General features: G+C 38.3%; 1 protein-coding gene across 11 annotated transcripts in view; it reads left to right on the forward strand.

Moving 5' to 3' along the window:
• The window catches only part of RFC3 (replication factor C subunit 3), a 159,229-nt gene that overhangs the window by 89,246 nt on the left and 48,396 nt on the right, over positions 1-21,587 (forward strand). For 3 of the 11 annotated variants that reach the window (XR_007063695.1, XM_017020680.3, XM_047430489.1), the window contains one exon: positions 1-21,587. This exon is cut by the window's left edge; it is cut by the window's right edge. The exons of 7 other annotated variants lie outside the window; for them this stretch is intronic. The gene's annotated coding sequence lies outside the window, so the exon portion shown is untranslated. One more of the 11 variants, XM_047430490.1, reaches the window with a different exon arrangement.

Raw genomic sequence — 21,587 nt, forward strand, 5'->3', positions numbered from 1 at the left:
TTATTACATATCAAAAATTAAATCTTCCCAAGACAAATAAAATAAATGAAAAGTTAATTGTGAATGTAGCTTATTTCAAAAATTACACTTAAATCTATACCTGAAAATACTTTTCTTTAGTGAAGAAGACATCATTTAAATGTTTCATAAAATTTTAGAATGAAAAACTTCTTGTAGATTTAATTCATTCTCATTTTAGAAGAACAGAATTAAAATTGCCTCTTTGGTTAATTTAAATATTGATACTAATCATCCTAATAGATATTATTTAGAACAAAAAGACAATGAAGAACAAGCTTTAATACCATTTGGCTGTCTCTAAAGACCACAGTTGAAAGCACCAACTATTAATCTTTTAATTTTTGGTACAGTAATTTTCAAAATGAATATTTTAGATCAGTGATCCAATTTAAACTCTGTTAAATAGCAAGGAAAGCATGTAATCAGAAATAATTCTTCTGTCACATTTCAACATTAAAGTCAAGGCCTTTTACAAACCTTTGAAAAGTATTTGGGAATAACCTCATTATATTTTAAAAAATTCTTTCTTTTTTTTTCATAGGATATACATGTTATATGTCACCTCTCCCTGAGATCTTTTGTAATAGAAAGTCTTCAATGTGTTCGTAATAAAGAATTCTAGGTAATAAAATTTTATTTTCTTTTTAAGGATATGCTGAAAGTGAGAAAGGGTATTAAAGTATTAAACTACTCAAAGAACACCCCAAAATATTTTCATTAATAAGATTAATAATTTGCACTGCATTTATCTGAAAAAAAACACACACACACAGTGCTACATTAATCAGTTTGGCAGTTGTTTTAAAAGGATAATGTCTTCTGAACAACCTATTAGAAGAGAGAGACATGATGCAGACTTGGAGGTTCAGCATTTGGAAACCATCCAGAGCATCACACTGAGGAGCCATAGAGTAGGCTTTTGTGGCATAGAGCCCTAGAATTTTTGGAAATTCTAACTTGAGTGCCAAAAGAGCTGTGGTTATCTGTGATTTCAGAGGCAGCTCACTGGGTTCTCTATGATGTAGAAAGCTTGAACCCTAGTTCTCACGGAGATCATCAGCTCCACAAAATTGGCTGGAGAATTATTATTATTGCAGAGAAGGAGGGCAATTGTCAGGGTTTGTTAGTCTGTATTCTATAATAGTCTGTGTATTGGTCAGGGTTCGCCAGAGAAAAAGAACACACAGGAGATACACACACACACACACACACACACACACACACACACACACACGCTTTAATATGAGGAATTGTCTCAAGAAATATGGAGGCCAAGAAGTCTCAGAATCTATAGTTTGGGCAAGCTGGATATTCAGAAGTGAAAATGGTTTAGATCCTGTTTAAGTCCAAAGGCCTGAGAACCAGAAGAGCCAATGACATAAGTTCTAACCTGAAAGCCAAAGGTCCAAGACCCAAGAAGAGCCAAAGTTTTAGTCAATGTTTAAAAGCAGAAAAAGATTGATGTCCAACCTCAGGCACTCAGGCAGGAGTTTCCTCTTACTTGTGGGAGGGTCAACATTTGTTGTTCTCTTCAGGTCTTCAACTAATTGAGGCCCACCACAGTGGGGAAAGCCATCAGCTTTACATAGTCTACTGATTCAAATGTTAATCTTATCCAGAGTAATGTTCTCCCAAATGTCTGGGTACCCCAGGTCCACTCAAGTTAACATATAAAATTAACCATCCCAATCTAATAGCTTTTCTCACATTGCCTAAAAGATGTTGAAACTACCTGTAATATACATTTTTTTTTTCAGGCGAGATTTAAGAGAATTAAAAGCAGGGCTTTATGTGGAACCATTAATGTTTCAGACTTGGAAGAGATATTTTAAATTTCTAGTACAACTCTTTCACTTTATCTTCATAAAGATGACTCTCTTGGGGCCTCTGAGGTAATGAGAGGCCACCCTGGTCCCTGACCTCCTGTTCTTAGACACGGGCTTCTCCTACAGTCCACATAACCCCTCTCAAAGCCAAGGAAGGCATTACCTGAGGGGAGGCTTGTTTTCTCCTTCATCTGCTTCTGCTCTTTATTCTGCTCCTCTTCGTCATTTACCCTAAGCTCTTCCTCCTATTGTTCCTCTTACTTTTCTCACTCCTTGTCTTATTCTTCCTGTTACCCCTCTCTCTCTTCTCTTTCTCCTTCTTTACCTCTTCCTCTTTCTTCTATTCTTCTTTCTGCTCTTCCTGCTCTGTCTTCTATTTTCTAGTGTGGGATAAACTTAATAAATAGGTTGCCCTAGGTTGTTCTTTCTTCAGCCTGAAGGTGAAGGCGTCATCTCCCTGTGATGGCTCCTCTTTTGAGCCATGCTCCCAGAGACATAATCAAAATAAGAGTGTACCTGAGGACTTGGTAACTGCATATGTAATGCCCCTTTGGGTGACACTTGACATCTCGTAGGAAAGATTGTTCAGGGCATTTGCTCAGTAAGATTCACATTTAATTAGCACATACTATGTGTTGGGTTCTATGTTAGGCACTTCAGCTCAGGTAGGAGGAAGACAGAGGTCTGGGAAGGTCTATCATAAAAAGGTAGTAACCTTTTCAGCAAAGGACATAAAAATTGTAGACTAGAAATAATGATAATGATGCTTATATAAGTTTTTCAAGTTTTGTATTATCTCAATGTTTGGCATTAATTAATTTCATTTTTATTATTGCACTTCTTATTGTGTTATTATTGCATCTTTGACTACATACATTAATTCACTTGTTTATTCATTCAACTACTTACCCAATTATCTAACATTTACTTAGCTCCTACTCGGTTCTGGGCATGTATTAGTAAATAAGACAGATTTTTCTCTCAAAAAGAGATAACATAGCATAAGGACTAAAAATTTGGACTCTGAAATTGGATAGCTGGTGTCTGAGGCCCAGTTTTTGTCACTCACTTAGACATTATCTTTTCTAAGCCTAATTTGCTCATTGTAAAGTGGGGATTATTAATAGGACTATGGTGAAGATTGAAGGCATTTTGGGAGTGCTTGGCACATAGTAAGCACTCATGAATGTTCATCATTGTTATTACTGACAGCTGGCTCAGAGATTTATGGAAGTAAACCAACAACAGAGAACAGTGTAACAAATGTCAGTGCAGGGAAGCACTTGGCCCAGCTAGAGAGATCACCGAAGGCTTTCTGGAAGACATGGCACTTGAGTCAAGACCATAGGCAGAATAGGAGCTACCTGGCAAGGAGTCTAGAAGAGGATATTTCAGGCAAAGAAGAACAGCACTTAAAAACGCAATAGGCTATAAGAGCTCGAGGTAGGTGTATTAGTCTGTTCTTACACTGCTATAAAGAAATATGTGAGACTGGGTAATTTATAAAGAAAAAAGGTATAATTGACTCATGGTTCCACAGGCTGTACAGGAATCATGATGCTGGCATCTGCTCAGCTTCTGGGGAGGCCTCAGGAAAACTTACAATCATGGTGGAAGGCAAAGGGGGAGCAGAGCAGGAGGAAGTGGGGCAGGGAGGTGCCACACACTTTTAAACAACCAGATCTCATGAGAACCCTTTCATGAGAGCAGCACGAAAGGGGGAAATCCACACCCATGATCCAATCACCTCTCACCACACCCCACCTCCAACATTGGGGATTACAATTTGACATGAGATTTAGGTGGGGACACAGAAGCAAACCACATCACAGGGCTTGGAGAAGAGCACTGAAGAAGAAAGGTTTTATTTATTAAACGGCAGAAGTAGACTTTGTAGGGGTCAGTGTCAGGACAGTTCAATCACCCATTTTACAGATGAGAAGACTGAGGCCCAGCTGCCTCTGTTGAACTGAATAGACTAAGGTCAAACAGCTGGTGAATGAGAGAGCTCATTTACACCACAGCCTCCATCACCAGTGCAGAGTCAAGTGGGAGAACAGCCTGCTGTAAGTGTACATGTAGGAGGCAAGAGTTTATGTAGAGAAGTTTGTGTCAGCAGCTATGTCTCTCCATGACTTATACTCTTTCTTAACTAGCTGTGTATTTAAGGTTATTAAAGCAAGTATTTTGGGGTGTATTATTGTTAGACACCCGTCTTAATCCATTTTGTGTTGCTATAACAGAATACCTGAGGCTGAGTAATTTATAAAAAAAAGAGGTGTATTTAGCTTACAGTTCTGCAGGCTGGAAAGTTCAAGAAGCATGGCACTGGCACCTGATCAGCTTTCGGTGAGGGCTTTTGTACTGCATCAGAACATGGTGAAGAAGGACAAAGGGGAAGCAGACACATCTGAAGAGGGACTGAACCCAAGGTGTGTCCTGGTTTTACAACAACCCACTCTTGAGGGAACTAATGCATTCCTTTGAGAACTAGTCCTGTCTTGCCAGAGTAATTCTCTCACTACCACAAGAACAACACTAAGCCATTCATGAAGGATCTGCTTCCATGACCCAAATACCTCCCACTAGGACCCACCTCCCAATACCATTATATTGGGAATCAAATTTTAACATGAGCTTTGGTGCGGACGAACAAACCATATCCAAACTATAGCAAAGACATTAATGCTTCTTCTTGTCAGAGCTCATCCACACTTGATACTACCACTTCTCCTCATTGCAAATCTAAGAACTATTTGGTTGATACAAAAGTAATCATGGTTTTGCCATTAAAAGTAATGGCAAAAACTGCAATTACTTTTGCACCAACCTAATATTTGCAAATTCTTAGCCATGTGATCTGGTCAAGATGAAGAAAGGGATCTGAAGAATTAATGATTTGTAATCAAGAAAAAAAAGTCCAAATCTAGATATACTGTTTTGCAGGTCCCAATTTCTCATCATTAGTATTTATTTAGTCCATTAGTTGTCATTCGACAAATGGAGCTTTCATTAACTCTGGGTCCTAGGACCTAGAGATACCATAATGACCAAGATGAACTGCCCCACCCCACAGTGATGGTGGTAATGTGACAAGTAAATAAGTGACTGCAAAATAGTGTGACAAATGCAATAAATGTCCTAAGATGGACATTTATTCTGATCCAGAGCATCAAGAAGGGCTTTCTAGAGGCACTAATTTCAGCATTGAGCTTTGAAATAGATAGAGGTTAGAAGTTACTGAGCTGGAAAGAACTGGTAGTTAGGCAAAGGAGGCCTGGGGAACATCAGGGCAGTGGCCTGGAGGCAAGAGGCTGTAACTGAGGAATCAGAAGAGAGGCAGTGTGGCTAGAATGTAGGGGATTCATTCATCTCTGGAGAGGAGGCTGGAGAGGTATAGAAGCCGGATATGAAGGGCCATGTGAACCTGAGAAAGGAATTGAAAGTTAATTCTATGAACGCTGTGGGATCATACAGTATTTATGCAGGGGAGAAAAAGATCAGACATTGGATTTTAGAAAGGTCCTTCCTGCTGCAGTGCTGTCACAGAAGAGATTGCCATAACCAAGAGTGGGTGCAGGAATATCAGCTTGGGGACTTTTATAAGGGTGGCCTAGGGATGAAGGGAAGAGGAAGGATGGGAGTGGTAATTAGCTTAATAACTGGGTGTGTGGGTGGATGAGAGAGAGAAATCATAGATAAATTGCACTCACCAGATGCTACTGAATCTATCTGTCTCTGCTAGTCCTGTTCACAGAAACAGGGGACACTGGGAGAGGGAGAGCCTGAGGATATAAAGAGGATCAGAAGACAAAGGAGTGAGTTTAGCTTTAGACCATTTGAATTTGAAATGTTTGTGGGTCACCCAGGTGTGTCTGTCCAGCATAAAGCAGGCCAGTGAAAATATCAGTGTATGTATGTAAACTTAATAACTAGTTATTTTATGAATACACTCCCTGGATAAGGAGATCAAATTCCACCTAGGAGCTGGGTGGTTTCTCAGCACTCAAAGCAGTCCCAACAGGCTCTAATTGAGCTCAGAGTGCCTAGCCAGGCACTGGGGGAACGGGAGAAGGAGGAGCAGAGAAAAATCTAGATGGGGCTGCTTATGTAAGGCCAGAATTCAGAGAGAAAGCCAGAGGCACTGCGGAATCTCTTCTTCATAGCCATGGGAATAATAGTAAAATTGTTCATGAAACACCAAGTTGCCTGAGTAGTAAATGAACTAATTTTGTGATAAGCTCAAAGGACACAGAAGCTAAAAACATGGACTTTTGAGCAGATAATTCTGGTTTAAACTCCCATTTCTGTCCCTTTCTATATGACCTTAGGGAAATTACTCACTCTCTCTAAGCCTCAGTTTCTTTATCTTTAAATGAGATGACACTACCTAGTTAGATATAAAAACACCTAGCTTATTGGATTGCTGAAGGATTAAGTGAAATATCGTATATGAAGTTCTGGCAAGTTTCAGTGTTTGTCAATAGTGAGCCCTCAATCTCTGGTAGTTACTGTTGCTGTTATGAGATATCCCAAGAAGGCAAATATCCTTGTTGCCATGTTTACTACAGCAGCAGGGAGGAAAGGAGCAGACAGCCACACCCATTCACATATATGTGTATAGAACATGTGACTATACACGTATTTATAATAACAGAAGACTTCATTATTTTCTTGCTTTAAAACCATAACCATGTAATTTTATGAAAATATGAAAGAAGAGTGCATCCCGTTGCTAAGTGATATGCTCATGTAATTACTGGGGAAACAGATGGCCAATCAATAGTAGACAGCTAATTGCCTTACAAATAGATTTAGTTAAAGATTGGAAATGATGATAAAAGTGTGTTGTCCTTATGATAGTGATATTAAGGCGGTTCATGGTCAATTATAATAATATAAATCATATTGAAAAGAGCATCTTATTTCTACTTTTAAGCTAATAGGAAGCCACTGCTTTCTGTATTGTTGAGTCAAGTTTTGGAAGAAAAATGGAACCACTCATTGTGCTAGACAAATGCTTTATTCTAGGCTACTTTTTCTTCCAAGGAAGATGAGCATTTGAAAAGTAATTATCTATCCATTCATTCTGCCAACCAACATTTAGTGAACATCCACTATTATACTTTCATGCAAACTTTCTTCTTCCATACTCTACCTTCTTCCTCCACTTTGCTCCTAAAAAGTCCAAACTACCAGAAAAATGTAGAAGTGGGCACCCTGTGTACACACATGGCTGATGACAAGGTAAATTGGAACAATATTTTAAGAAAACAGTATGCTTCTGTCAATCAAGCACAAAAGTATTATGCCAGTTGGTCCAGGAATCTCACCTCCTTGGAAACTATGTGGAGAAAATAATTCAGCCAAAGAAAAAAGCTGCTTGTATGAAGATATTTATTGTGGAATTATTTATAAGAATAAATTGGAAACAAATTATATGTCCAATGCTAAATAATAATTAAGAATGACAATCCCATTTATGAATTCTACATAACATTATGCAGCTATTTATAATGTTTACAGTCTTCTTAGAAATCTGAACAAAATTTATGATCTCATAAATAAGGTAGTTTGCAAGAATTCACCAGTTCTATGTTTATAGCTATGCAAAGAATAAGTATAAAATAGGAAAATGACTGAGAAAGAGCAAACAAAACTGAAAATAATTGTGTTAGAAGAGTGGAATATTCTTTTTTCAGTCTTCAACAACTCATTTTGATATTCTTTTATGATATATTAAATGTGAACACCACAAAGAATTGTTCTGTATGTAGTCAAAATCCAAGATGGCACCTTCCAAACACCAAATAAAAAGCCTTCCTTGCTTTTAGAATTCAAGTAATCTTAGAGCAATAAATAGTTGTTTCTCCATGTCTTATCTTCCTTGTTTTGTACTGTGAGAGGCATTTACAAGTATATTGAATTTCTCTTGCTTATGAATTCAACTGCTGCTGCTTTTCAACAAACAGCCTTAATCCTTTGTTTGGCTGTCATAGTTGCTACTGCAGGAATTATGATGCTGCCAACAGAGAATTCAGGAGATAAAATGAAGAGGTTTGTAAATGCCAGTACACTTGCACCCTTTTCTTGATATTACCAACTGTACATATGTGTATATCTCTTTCTATATATTTGTCCTATTAAACTCCAACCTTGTTCAGTGCGTGGACCATAAGGTTTATTTAATCTGAAAACATGCTTTGCATGCTATAATTATTATTACAGAAGAAAATAAATGTACTCACTAATCAGAATATCCACTAGCAATGAAGAAGGAAAATGCTGCCGTCCTTGGGGGTAGATTTCTGTAATGTTCCTCATGCCCATGCCAGAATTTTGTTTTCTTTTTCTTTCAACTTCCTAGACCCTAATTTCCAATGTCAGAATAGTTTCCCAGTCAGAATTGGGTAGGAGAGATGGAAGTCTGTGCTGGCTGCTTTTATAAATATTATGTGGTTGTTATTTTAGTGTGATTAAAAAAGAAAACAATGACTAAAATTATTCGTAATGATTCATATTAACATTGTGAGGCAATAATTATATTTCTATATTTCTATATATATATATATTTTGAGAGAGAGTCTCACTCTGTCACTCAGGCTGGAGTGCAGCGGTGCGATCTCGGCTCATTGCAACCTCTGCCTCTGGGGTTCAAGTGATTCTCACGCCTCAGCCTCCCAAGTAGTTGGGACTATAGGCGCACTCCACCACACCTAGCTAATTTTGTATTTTTGGTAGAGATGGGGGTTTTGCCATGTTGGCCAGGCTGATCTCAAACTCTTGACCTCAGGTGATCCACCAGCCTCAGCCACCCAAACTGCTGGGATTATAGGGGTGAGCCACCATACCCAGCTGGGAATAACTATATTTCTAAATGACAGAGCTTCATTAGGGTTAGACATTTGTGAGGAACATGCTTGCTTGCTGGAGATGCTTGGCTTGCAGGTGCCTGCCATTTGCATGTTGTATAGTGCACATCTGAACTTTGGAGCCACTCTTACCATCTGCCATAAACTGAAAGGTGCAATTTCCAAAACTGTTTTCCTTAAGACCCAGGATCTGAAAAAGATTATTTGAAAATCCCCTTAGAGATGGAAAGAAAGAAAAAAAGAAAGCAATGGTCCTTTTGCTTGTATATTATTCTATTCAATCTTCACTTTAGATAAAAATCACTGTAGGCCTTTGGTGACAGAAACAGATGTCTCAAAGAGGACTGGATCACACAAAGTCAGATTTCACCTGGGTAGAAAGCATTCTGCATTGACAACCATCTGGGTTTCAACTAGATGAAATGTGATGATGCAGAATATTGTCTCATAATACTTATGGATGTTTGGCTAATAGCACCAGTGATGACTGACCAAGGCCACTCACAGGGAGCAGCTGCACAAATGTATGTACGTAGATGTCTGTGTGTCTGTGTATATGTAGGCATGTGTGTATATATAAGCATGGGCATGTTTATATGCATGTTTATATGCATATACACATAGGTGTGTATGTGTGTACATATGAGTGTGCATGTACATACACATATATACATGTATGCGTATGTATATGTGTGTATATATGTGTGTATGCATGTGTATGTATGTGCACTAAATGTTTTTAATTACATTTGCCAAATGCATTTTTGGTTTATATAACTTCCCACATTTCCAAGGTTACTGACATAATTTAACACCCAACATATGTCAGAGTTGTTATTTTGACTTTTTTAAAATTAAAGATGCAATTTCTAAATGAGTGCAGGAGACTTCAGAAATATTACTGTGCTAAATTTCAAGCTCCTGAAACTTTAAAACTCAGAAAAGAAGGGTGAGATCTTGGACATAAGCTCCTGTTTTCATTTGCTTAAAATGCGAATAGATTGCAAGACATCCAGGATCCACATTTCCCCAGTAAAGGCCTTGAGTCGTAAGACACTATCACAGGCAAAGGCAGTTTCCCTGCCAGCCCCCTCATTTCACAGAATACAAGTGTAGCCCTTGTGTAGGTAAGCGAGTCCAGAGTGTCCTGGCTTCTCGTGGGCCTCTTTATTGCAAACAGAGTAGACTTTTAAATAAGCCAGAGCCTTAGCTTCCAGAAAGATAATCCGAGGCATGGAAAGGATGGTTAGTCTGATGAGCTAATTTTAGGACCTGGAATCTCAGCAGCATCCTTTTAATATTGCAGCACACGCTGCTGTTTCCAGGGCCTCTTCAGGATCTCCTTAAATAAATTAGGATCTAAAGAGCCCTCCTGTTTCCTTAGAGTTAAGCTAATGCTGCCAGCAGTGCCATTTTGGTTCCTTAGTTGCTCTCTGTAGGCCTCATAAAGCCCTTTCTCAACCCTCCACATGCTGGGCAAAGCACAACCTGGTGGTCGTGGCTCAGACACCATTTAATTTCCTTCTCAAACCATCTTGTTTTATGTAAGTTGACCTTTTCATGACTGTAAAATTTCCTCATTAGAAAATGACAGGCTCTCTGGGATTGCAAACCTTTCCTGATAACACTCTGTATAAAGGTGTCTGTGAAAGATTTTTCTCACTTAAAAATGAAAAGAGACCCTTTTGTCTACTCCACTAGCAGCTTTCAGAGCACACAGACAATCCACTTGAATTTTGTTTAAAAAAAAACAAACAAACAGGAAACCTTCACTTGTTGGGGCAGCCAGTAAGGGGGTGTCAGAGATGAATCTGAAGGATCTGGTTTTAAGAAACTCAGAATCATTATCCACTTCATTTTCAGAGTACCCATTCTCTGTTAAGTATGTAACATATGCCATTGCTAGAATTTCCTACAGCTCTACAGGGGTTCCTATTACAGTTGAGGAAACTTGGATTCAGAAAGGTCCAGAGGCTTGCCCAAGGTCATTGAGCAGGAGAGTGACAGAGCTAGTGCTTCAACCTAGGTCCTTGTGGCTCTGTTCTTTCCACTGCATCATTCTGCCTCTCAAGGCAATACTTGCTCAAAAAAATAAATTTCAGACAGACATGCTGCAGATGCCTTAGTTTGCATGGAATACACACTGTTAACAACAGTTATTGGATTGGAGAATTACTAGGGTTTCTGACCTCAGCAACTGGAGTACCTTCGCTACAGTACCAGTCCTGAGCCAGGCTGCTAGGATTCAAACCCTTTCATGGCCCCTGGCTGGCTGTGGCATTCAGGGTTGTCACTTCTCTGGAGTGAGGTCTCTTGAGCAGAAACATGAGCACATGTAACATAATACCTTCCTCACAGCATTGTTGTAAGGAGTAAATGAGAGAATGCTTGCAAAATGCTGTTGGGTAATTAATACAAAGTAGCTGTTATTATTACCAAAATGACATAGAAATGTTGCTGCCTCCCTGCCCATAGGAAAAAACTGGGGGAGCAAATCAACTTGTGACTTGCAAGAAACCTCAAATAATAGCACCAAATAAAGAAGGCTGATGTACACAATTTGCCAACAGTGGAGGGCATTGCGACAAAAACCGCCCGACAGGAAGGCCGAGGCTGTCACATCCCATTACTCTGGAGCTGTGACTTCATGCTGACTCAGCCAAAGGCAGGCAGTAATCACAGCCAAGTTTATATGCTCAGAATTGATGTGGCCATATTTCCACATTCTCAAAAGCAAAGCCAAGAGAAAACGGCGATCAGAAAGTTTTTATGGGCCTCATCATGAAATGGTGACAGCTCCAGCTTATTGATTTGCCTTTAGTTAACCTCTGTAATTCGAAGTGATCACCCTGCCAAAAATGAAGGTTTATCAAGGGAATCCTTTTTACCTTTTGGTCTTTTTGGAACAAAGACCTTGTCCGTTCTTCTTTATTCTATAGAGTAATTGATTTGGGTTGATGGTAAGTGTTCAGATGAGATTTCTGGAGGACATTTATCTGAGTCGTCCCAAACAATCATTATTGTTTATGTTGATGATGTTTTTGCCTCACCCATTCAGAAATGCTGCAGTACATTCATGGGCGCAGTCAAAGCAGTGTTTTCAATTATCTTTTTGTATTTCTAATTGGTAGAAATAAATTAGAAGACATGTATTTGACTACTATTCTGCACCAGCAAATCCATTTTTTTTTTAATGATGCTAATTGTGGTTGTCATGGAAACCCTGAAAGTAGTTAGGCTGAATTGCTCAATGTATTTCTTTTTTTCTCTGTAAGTGATTATTTCTTTGGCTGATATTGAAGTTCTTCTAGAAAGCTATTATGCATACGCTCACAAGACATTTACTCTAAGTTAAGATGCTCGATAAATCTGTTACACCAATTATATTTGTACTGTGGTTATGAGAATCAATATGCTTGAGATGTAAACTGATCACCTAGAAAAGTGAATAAACCAGTTGGCTTGTTTTTTTATTTTATTTTCCTGAAAGTAGTGATGTAATGCCTAGATGATTTTCAAAAATATTCTGCTTGCTTTAAACTTTTGGTATTATTTAATGTCTGTGTGTATGCTTTTCAAATGTCATTTTGCTGTAACTTTTCTGAAAAATGTCAAAATTATATTGAAGAGTCATGTCTGCTTCTTGTTAATCCTGTTGGCAGATTTCAGGGGGAAAAGAGATATACATGGAGGATATAGGCTGAGGAAGAAAGCCTCTGAGTCTAAATGGTCGTAGATAAAATACTAGATGCATCATTTATTAATTGTGCATACTTAACCTGGGTTGTAGTCTTCACATGTAAAATGAGAGTCATAACCTCATTGGGTTGTTTAAAGATGAAGCGTAACTATACATGTCATACTGCTCATATGGTGGCAGGCATATAAAAGATGCCCTAGAAATTTTACTCTTGTTCCTGCCTAAGTCTCCCTAATCAACCTTCCCTTCTGCACCCTCTCACAGGGACTCACTCCTGGGTTTCTGGAATTATGTGTTTGGATTGAAGGGAGAGAATGTTTGGCTAGCAGAACCTCAATAAATTTTTAGCATCCTTACAGCATCCCCATGTTATGGGAAAAAAGCAATGTTCCGGGACAAGCCTGACCTGGAAAGAGAATCTTCACAAGGATTAAAAAAGTTCCATCACAGTAACTTCCAACCAAATACCCTCTCAAGAAATTTATTCTTCCAAAACAAATATCCTGTTGATTGGATGATTGAGTTGGGGTGGGGAGAGAGCTCTTTAGGAGCAATAGTCAATAGTTCACCCTTGCATGTGTGAGTTTTAGAATTTGTACAACCACACTTTTTTTTTTTTTTTTTTTTTTTTTGCAACAAGGTCCTCACTCTGTCTCTCAGGCTGGAGTGCAGTGGCAGGACCATGGTTCACTGCAGCCTGGACCTCCTAGGCTCAAGTGATCCTCCTGCCTTAGCCTCCTAAGTAGCTGGGACCACAGGTGCATGCCACCACACCCAGCTAATTCTTAAATTTTTTTGTAGAGATTGAGGGGGATGTTGCTATGTTGCCCAGGCTGATGTCAAACTCTTGGCCTCAAAGTGATCCCTCTACCCTGGCCTCCCAAAGTGCTGGGATTACAGGTGTGAGCCACTGCACCCAGCCAACCAAACATTTTTAATGCAGTAATAGAGCTACTTTCTCAGCTCATTACACCGGTACAGAATCTTTCTTCTTGGGATCATGAAGTATTGGTAGCATGTCTTTATCTTACTAAATGAGTCTTTATCTTACTAAATCTTCCCTACTACATAGTTGGTTCATATTATGAGTCTTATTTATTTTAATTAAAGTGAATATAGAGGCAAATTTATGTTTCCAACGTACCTCGTATATGCCTCAGTTATAGCACTTACCACGTGGCATTATAATTGTTTGCATATATTCATCCCCCATAGATTAAACAATTTAGAGATGACTGCATTCTCTGAAACCAAACAAAACTAAAATTTGAAATCTTGAGTATCAAGTAAGTTAGGCTCTTCACTCATTCAGTGATTATTTAATGAGCTTCTACTATTTTCCCTGTGCTAGACTAACTGTTGGGAATTCAGGAGTGAATGTGGCAGACATGTTTCCTTCCTCATTAGGCAATGAGGCTCACATCTACTATGGCAGCGGCTAAGTGCTGTCAGCAGTGAACTTCCAGCTCTGTAGCACTTAGTGGCTCCGTAAGTGGAGCTTGGGACTGCCCAAGAGTCAAGTAAGTCTTCCTGAAGGCAACGGCTTTGAAGGAGAGAACTGAAGACACACAACTTAGAGGGTTAGGGAGAGTGTTCCAAACCGAGGGAAAAACAAATGTAAATGGACACAGAGGTCAAAAGACAGTTTCTTGAGTTCTTGTGCCTACACGTTCCTAGGGAAGGGTCTCAACCCCTGCATGAAACATACACTGATGACATGAATTTGCTGTTTTTAAGGAGGAGATTGCATTTGTTACATAAACTGCAGCATCAGCAGCTTGGGATCTGTGTTTCTTAGGCTGAGGTGACACCACTGAGGGTCCCTGATGGTGCAGCCTTTCACGATGACTTTGCAGCAACACAGCACCCTCCCAGTGCACCCTGGAATGGAGCCCTGGGAGGGAACAAAGACACCCTCTGGGGTTTCTTTGAGATTTTTGATTTGCTTATCTCTTCCTCCAGACTTCAAACACATTTTGGTTTCTCTAGGGGTTGCTCATTCAAATGCCAAGTAGACAAGGATTTGAACTAATTATCTAATTTTAAATAAGGTGTAGTAGGGACATATAGAATTAAGGGAATTATAGGAGACAGCATGGTGTTTGGAGTCCAGTCAGAGAAATCTGGTTTTGCCTCCTGATTCCTTCTCTCAGGTCTAGGTAAACTTCAGCATGTTCTTCTTCCCATCTGTCAGGCAGGGATAGGAACACCTGCCCAGAGGGCTGCTGGAAGATGGAGTGAAAATGACACTTATTACCTGTTTAAAGTGGTGCCTGGCATCATCCACAAGCGAGAATTAGGAAAGAGAGTAATCTTTAGAAGCCTCAGCTTCATTGCTTTTTTTTTTTTTTTTTACTGCTGTATTTTCCTTTCTTTTTTATTTTTTAAAGCAGCTTTATTGGAACATAATTTACATACCATCACATCCATTTTGAGTGTATAATTCAATGAATTTTAGTATATTTAGAGTTGTGTGATCAACACCACAATCTAATTTTAGGACTTTCCCATCATCCTAGAAAGAAAATATTTGAATTTTTTTGTGTCTATGAATTCTAAACTATGCTCAGGAAATATTCAATTTAAGGACCCAAGCTAATCATCATGTTTACTTAATAACCACAGGTTGTCATATATCATCATATTGTGATAATTATCATCAAGAATGTTAACTATTTAAGTATGTTACAACTTTAGATAATTTACTTGTTGATATTATTAATAAATGTTAAAATGGTCTTTTTTTGGGCAAACAACAGTTAATGATGACTGGTGGTACTTATTCAAATAAATAAAAAAAGTCTTGCCATAAAACCTTTGGGAAAAATATGTTTTTTAGTTTGTGCTGTTATGAAAAAGTAGCTAGTCAAATAATCTTGAATATATTACCAGAAACTCATTGGAAAGGGCAGAGTTAAGTAGAGAGGCCATGGGATTAGGCACGAGGGCTCTATAGAGCCAGAGTTCAAACCCAATTCAGCCAGTTATAGGCTGTGGAATATGAAACCAAATGCCTTAACTCTCTGGCCCACAGTCTCTTCATTTGTAAAATAGAGGTAATAGTAGGTGTCTCGTAGGGTTGCAGGAATTAACTTATGATATATGTAAAGCCATTAGTATTGCAGCTGGCATACAGTAAGTGTTCAATAAATCACTGCTGGAATTTTATTGAGTGTAGACTCCCAGGGAATTGATAAAAGGGACCATTTATTAAAGTTTAAGAACACATTAGGAAAAGTAGAGAAAGAGGTTGCTTTCGTCTTAAGTAGGGAATCAAAAAAGCCCCCGCTCTGACTGGAAAATGACAGTTTTTAAAGAACTAAATAATAATAACCCTTGATGTGTATTCTTTGTGACATAGAGATAGAGCTATTGCACTGTAATCTGATTTTGTTCTTTTAGCTATGAGGAGAGGAGATGAGAGAGACCAAAGAGACAGCCGATCTTGCTAGGAGAAAGGCTCCTAGACAGACACCCTGAAGCCTTTCCTTTACTTAGGTTTATTGACACAGGGAGGGGGTCATCCATCTGCAGCTGGGCCCAAAAAATGCCAGGAATAGCCACAAAAGGCTGGAGACCATGACTGGCAGTTTGAATGTCATCCTTGCTCCTGGCTGTAGTGTGGCTGGTGCATAGTTGGGGGTGAGGATATTAACACGAAAACTAGTGGATTCAGAACAAGTGGGATGGCCTGGTTCCCAGGGGTCTTCAGGCCACATGGTCACTTGCAGGATTGAATGAAGAGGTGATATTGACTAGGGCTGATGCCCTGTGATTCTGGGGATTTTGAACATAGGGCTTGAATAACAACTCAAATTATAGATGGGGTTGTAAATGGGAAAGACAACCACAGGAGGAGGTGAGGCAGGCTGATGCAATGACGAGAGGCCAGGAACCAGGGTCTGTGGATAGCTGGCTCTATCACTCCTAGTTGGTATTCACATCCTTTTAAAATCTGAAGGTGCTTTAATCTTTCCTGGCCCATTCTACACCAAGGAGAGCTTTCTAAGCCCCAAGGTGTCCCAGGCTGCCAGAGAAAGTTTAGTTCCATGTGTCTGTGGTACACATTAGGAAAAGTAGAGAAAGTCACTTGTGGGACTCCTTGGTTTTCCTTCGGGTTAGAGCTGGAGTTATCTCTGAAGGCTTGATGGAAGCTGATTTCCCAAGATCCAAAAGCTTTCTTTGTCAGGGCTGGCACCAGGGCTCAGCGCTTTCTTAGACTTCTGGTTCAGCCCTGACAAGGTTTTGAAAATCAAATTAAAAAGAGACTAAATATAACTTGTAGAAAACCTAGGAGGAAGTGTGCTTACAGACCTAAACTCTAAAAGATGCAATCAAGTCCTCTGAAAACCAGATAATTGACTTTAAAAGACAAGTGTAGATGTATTAGGTGGAAGCATATTAGTTCACTTATTCTTTTTTTCACTTATTTATTTTTATACAAACATCACCGGTTTTCTATGAATGGAAGGTGGCAAATTATCTGTGTAAGAAGATTCAGGTATAATCTTCCTTCTCAATGAGTTTCTGTTCTTGATCAGGGTTGGCAAACTATGCCTGGCAGGTCAAATCCTACCTGCTGACTGTGTTTGTAAATTGAGCTTTACTGGAAAACAGCCATGCCCATTTACTTACCGCTATTATAGCTGTTTTCCTGCTATAATGACAAAGTAGAGTAGTTGTAATAGGTATGGTATAGCTTGCAAGGCCTGAAACATTTACTGTTTGGCCCTATATATAAAAAGTTTGCTTCATCAGCAAGATGAACAGATAAAGAAATGATTATATATATATATGTAAATATATATACACACCATCATTTATTGATATTATATATCAATGTGTGTGTATATATATATATTATATATATATGTATACCATCATTGTGTGTATGTGTGTGTGTGTGTGTGTGTGTATATATATATATATATCAGGGCCTGGTGATTGAGGGGAAAATGGGGAGATGTTGTTCAGAGAGTACAAACTTTTATTTATAAGTTTTGTAGATCTAATATATAGAATGGTGACTATAGTTAACAATACTGTATTGTATACTTAAAATTTGCTAAGAAATTAGATCTTAAATGTTCCCACCAAAAGACAAAAGACAAAAAAATAACTAGGTGAGATGATAGATGTGTTAACTAACTTAATCATGGGTGAGGTGATAAATGTGTTAACTAACTTAATTGTGGTAATCATTTCACTATATATATACATATATATAGTGTACATATATATATACACATATATAGTGTACTATATACACGCATATATAGTGTACTATATACACGCATATATAGTGTACATATATACATGCATATATAGTGTACTATATACATACACATATAGTGTACTATATACATACACATATAGTGTACTATATACATACACATATAGTGTACTATATACATACACATATAGTGTACTATATACATACACATATAGTGTACTATATACATACACATATAGTGTACTATATACATACACATATAGTGTACTATATACATACACATATAGTGTACTATATACATACATATATAGTGTACTATATACATACATATAGTGTACTATATACATACATAGTGTACTATATACATACATAGTGTACTATATACATACATACATAGTGTACTATATACATACATACATAGTGTACTATATACATACATACATAGTGTACTATATACATACATACATAGTGTACTATATACATACATACATAGTGTACTATATACATACATACATAGTGTACTATATACATACATATATAGTGTACTATATACATACATATATAGTGTACTATATACATACATATATATGTATATGTATATAGTGAAATGATTACCACAATTAAGTTAGTGTGTATGTATATATACACACACACACACACACATATACATATATATTTATGTATGTCAGTAGGGTGGAAATAGAAAATGATGATGTGGCATTTTAGGCCAAGAAAGAGACTATGGAATGAACCCCCCGACCAACCACCACCACATATCTCCTGAAATCCTGAAGTGACATGAGACTGCAGAGTGTCTGACATTGTTGTATCAATATCAAATAAGAATGTAAAGACTAATCTCTAAGCCAAAGGTTTTATTTGGGAATACACAAATGATAGAATTGCAATTTGGGATGTCCAACAATGATAGACTGGATTAGGAAAATGTGGCACATATACACCATGGAATACTATGCAGCCATAAAAAATGATGAGTTCATGTCCTTTGTTGGGACATGGATGAAATTGGAAATCATCATTCTCAGTAAACTATCACAGGAACAAAAAACCAGACACCGCATATTCTCACTCATAGGTGGGAATTGAACAATGAGAACACATGGACACAGGAAGGGGAACATCACACTCTGGGGACTGTTGTGGGGTGGGGGGAGGGGGGAGGGATAGCACTGGGAGATATACCTAATGCTACATGACGAGTTAGTGGGTGCAGCGCACCAGCATGGCACATGTATACATATGTAACTAACCTGCACATTGTGCACATGTACCCTAAAACTTAAAGTATAATAATAATAAATAAATAAATTAAAAAAAAATACCCTAGCACACATTCGTCATAACAAATGTCGGTTGTAATTGGAAATCCACATTAAATTTGAATATTCCCCAATAGTTTAAAAAGTAATTATAAATATTCTTATCTAGCTACATGTATTTGTTTATGTATTAGCCCATTCCCAGCAGATTTTATTTCATTCTTTCACAGTAAACAAATTCAGGGAATTTTTACTGTAAGTTTTACTTTAGTTCAAATTCAGTAAGTTTTACTGTAGTTTTCATGTTAATGGTTTATATGGGTTAAAACTTGTACCCTCATTCTTAATTTTGTGGTACTCTATAGTCACCATATGAAAGAAATAAAGTTACTTTTGGGGAAATTACTTGAATAAGGTCAAATGAGATCTGCAACTGTGGGATACACTTTTGTCAACATTTTAAAAGGCCAACCAGGCTTTGGTCATTGTACATTGATATGGTATAGGCCTATGCTTTGATTATATTCATTTCAAAGCTCTGTATTAATTAGGAAATAATGGCTCATTCTGAGAGGAAATGATTATATTTGATTTTGAGAATTTTGCATTTGAGCTGATAAAATGAGATACACCAGAAAAAAGTGAAAACATGAAAATTAAGCTTCAGTGAAAGTGAAGTATAGGAAAGTTTTAAATATTTTGATAATAGATTATATATCATATCAATATATTATATATTCCTCCCTGACCTCATTCTTGAAATCTCACCCAATCCTTGACCTTCCCTGGCAAAGATCAAAATTGAGAAAAAGATCGGGAGTGGCGTAAGTCTCAGGAATAAAATAAGAGGGCACCTGATGTTCACATTGCTTGGTAATGAAAAATAATAAAGGCTTTTTAAAGCAGTTAAAAAAAAAAAAAAGATTTGCAATTTGGGGCACATGCCCAGACCTGGATGGCCTCTCATAAGTCCTAAGACCAAAGGGAAAGTTAGGGTTTTATTGGGGGAAAGAGGGGGTTATGCAAGTTGTTTTGAAAGAAAATTCATTGGTTCTGGTGATGTCTTCCAGGAGCTGGTGAGCTCTGATTGGTGAGTGGTGGCATTGCTAGGTAAAACTTGTCATCTTAAAGTCACAGCAGGCTGTTTTCTTGGAAGGGGCTTGCACAACAGTGGATCTGGTGAGTGTTTTTGTTTAAGAGGCCAACTCTCCTTGTGCTGTTGTCCATGTGTGACTCATGTAGCAATTAAGGCTTGGAAAAGTTTCTTGTAGCAGTTTTTGTTATTGGGCCAGCCCTGTGTGAGAGCCCTCCCATCATGGCCCTGGCTCCATTTTGCCAGAGTTTGACACGAGTGACTCTATTTTGATTCTGACAACTTTCACAGCTGCAACTCTTGTAAATTCAGAAGGGGCTGAGGGTGAGCTATGGAACTGGAGAGGCCTGGTGTGTGGGTGACTTCTGTGGTCCTGCCTGGAACAAAGGCCACTGAGTGAGAAATAGGTTGATTTACATCAGCAGTGGGTGGCCCTATAATACCAAGGAGGAGTTTCAGATGAGAAAGACCAATATGACAGTAGAATAGAAGCTCTAGGGACTTAATTCAGCAGTAAGAATAGCAGCTAACATTCTCATAACATCTACCATGGGCAAGGCACTGTTAACATCTAATAACTCATTTAGTCTTCCAAACAGCCCTGTAAGGTGGGTGACAATTATTATCATCTCCATTTGACAGAGGGTGAATCTGAAGAAAGAGAAGTAAAATAATTTGTTCAAATTTCCACCGCAGTGAAGTGACTGCTGGTATTTGAATGCAGGCAGTGTCAGGATCGTGGGCTTACCTAGTATTCCCAACCACTTCTCTCAGGAAAGGGGTGAGGAGACAAGATTGAGTAGGTATCCAAGAAAGACTGAGTCAATCATGAAAGTGACTCAGTAGCAGAAATGACAACTTGAGATGCAAGTACTACGCAAAAATAGGGACATACACTTATGTATTTACGCAGTTATATCCATGGTTGTAAAGGTTGATACCTGCTACAAATGTGAGTCCTAAATTTTCCAATCAAGTTGTATAGTGATGGCAGGATTGCTCACCTCTCATAAACCAGAAGTCAGAGGCTTAGAGAGAGTTCACTCGGAGGAAATACCATGCTCTGAGCTTGATATTCACGGGTATACACAAATTGGGCATGTTGAGGTGAGTTAAATATGCTGCTTGTTAAATTAAAGGTGTTCACCGTGCCTTATTACATTGATCAGCTCACCTTGCCTCTTCCCAACTCTAACTTTAGAAGAGGCTGCATAGGTGGATGTGTGCTAGATTACTGAATATACTTTCTCTGGTGTTTGCTTTACATCTTATCCACATACTTAATACAAGTCCAATAGCAGCTTGCCTGTGTTTAAACCTGTACAGTGTTGATCAGTTGCACGCCATTCAGTGAACTAGGCAGGTATATGTCTGTTACAGCAAATACTGCGTTTGAATGAAGAGAACCAATGTCTGGGGGGGGAAGTGAAAACTATCTGAAATGGGTTAGTTGCCCTAGAAAATAGAATTGGGATTCTTTGTAGAAGAATATGCCCACCTTTGGCCCTGATCTGGGATTCCATTTAAAACAATTTTTTTCTACAGTATTATGCCAAAAAGTT

This window comes from Homo sapiens, chromosome 13, assembly GCF_000001405.40.
Source record: "Homo sapiens chromosome 13, GRCh38.p14 Primary Assembly".
Taxonomy (NCBI): Eukaryota; Metazoa; Chordata; class Mammalia; order Primates; family Hominidae; genus Homo; species Homo sapiens.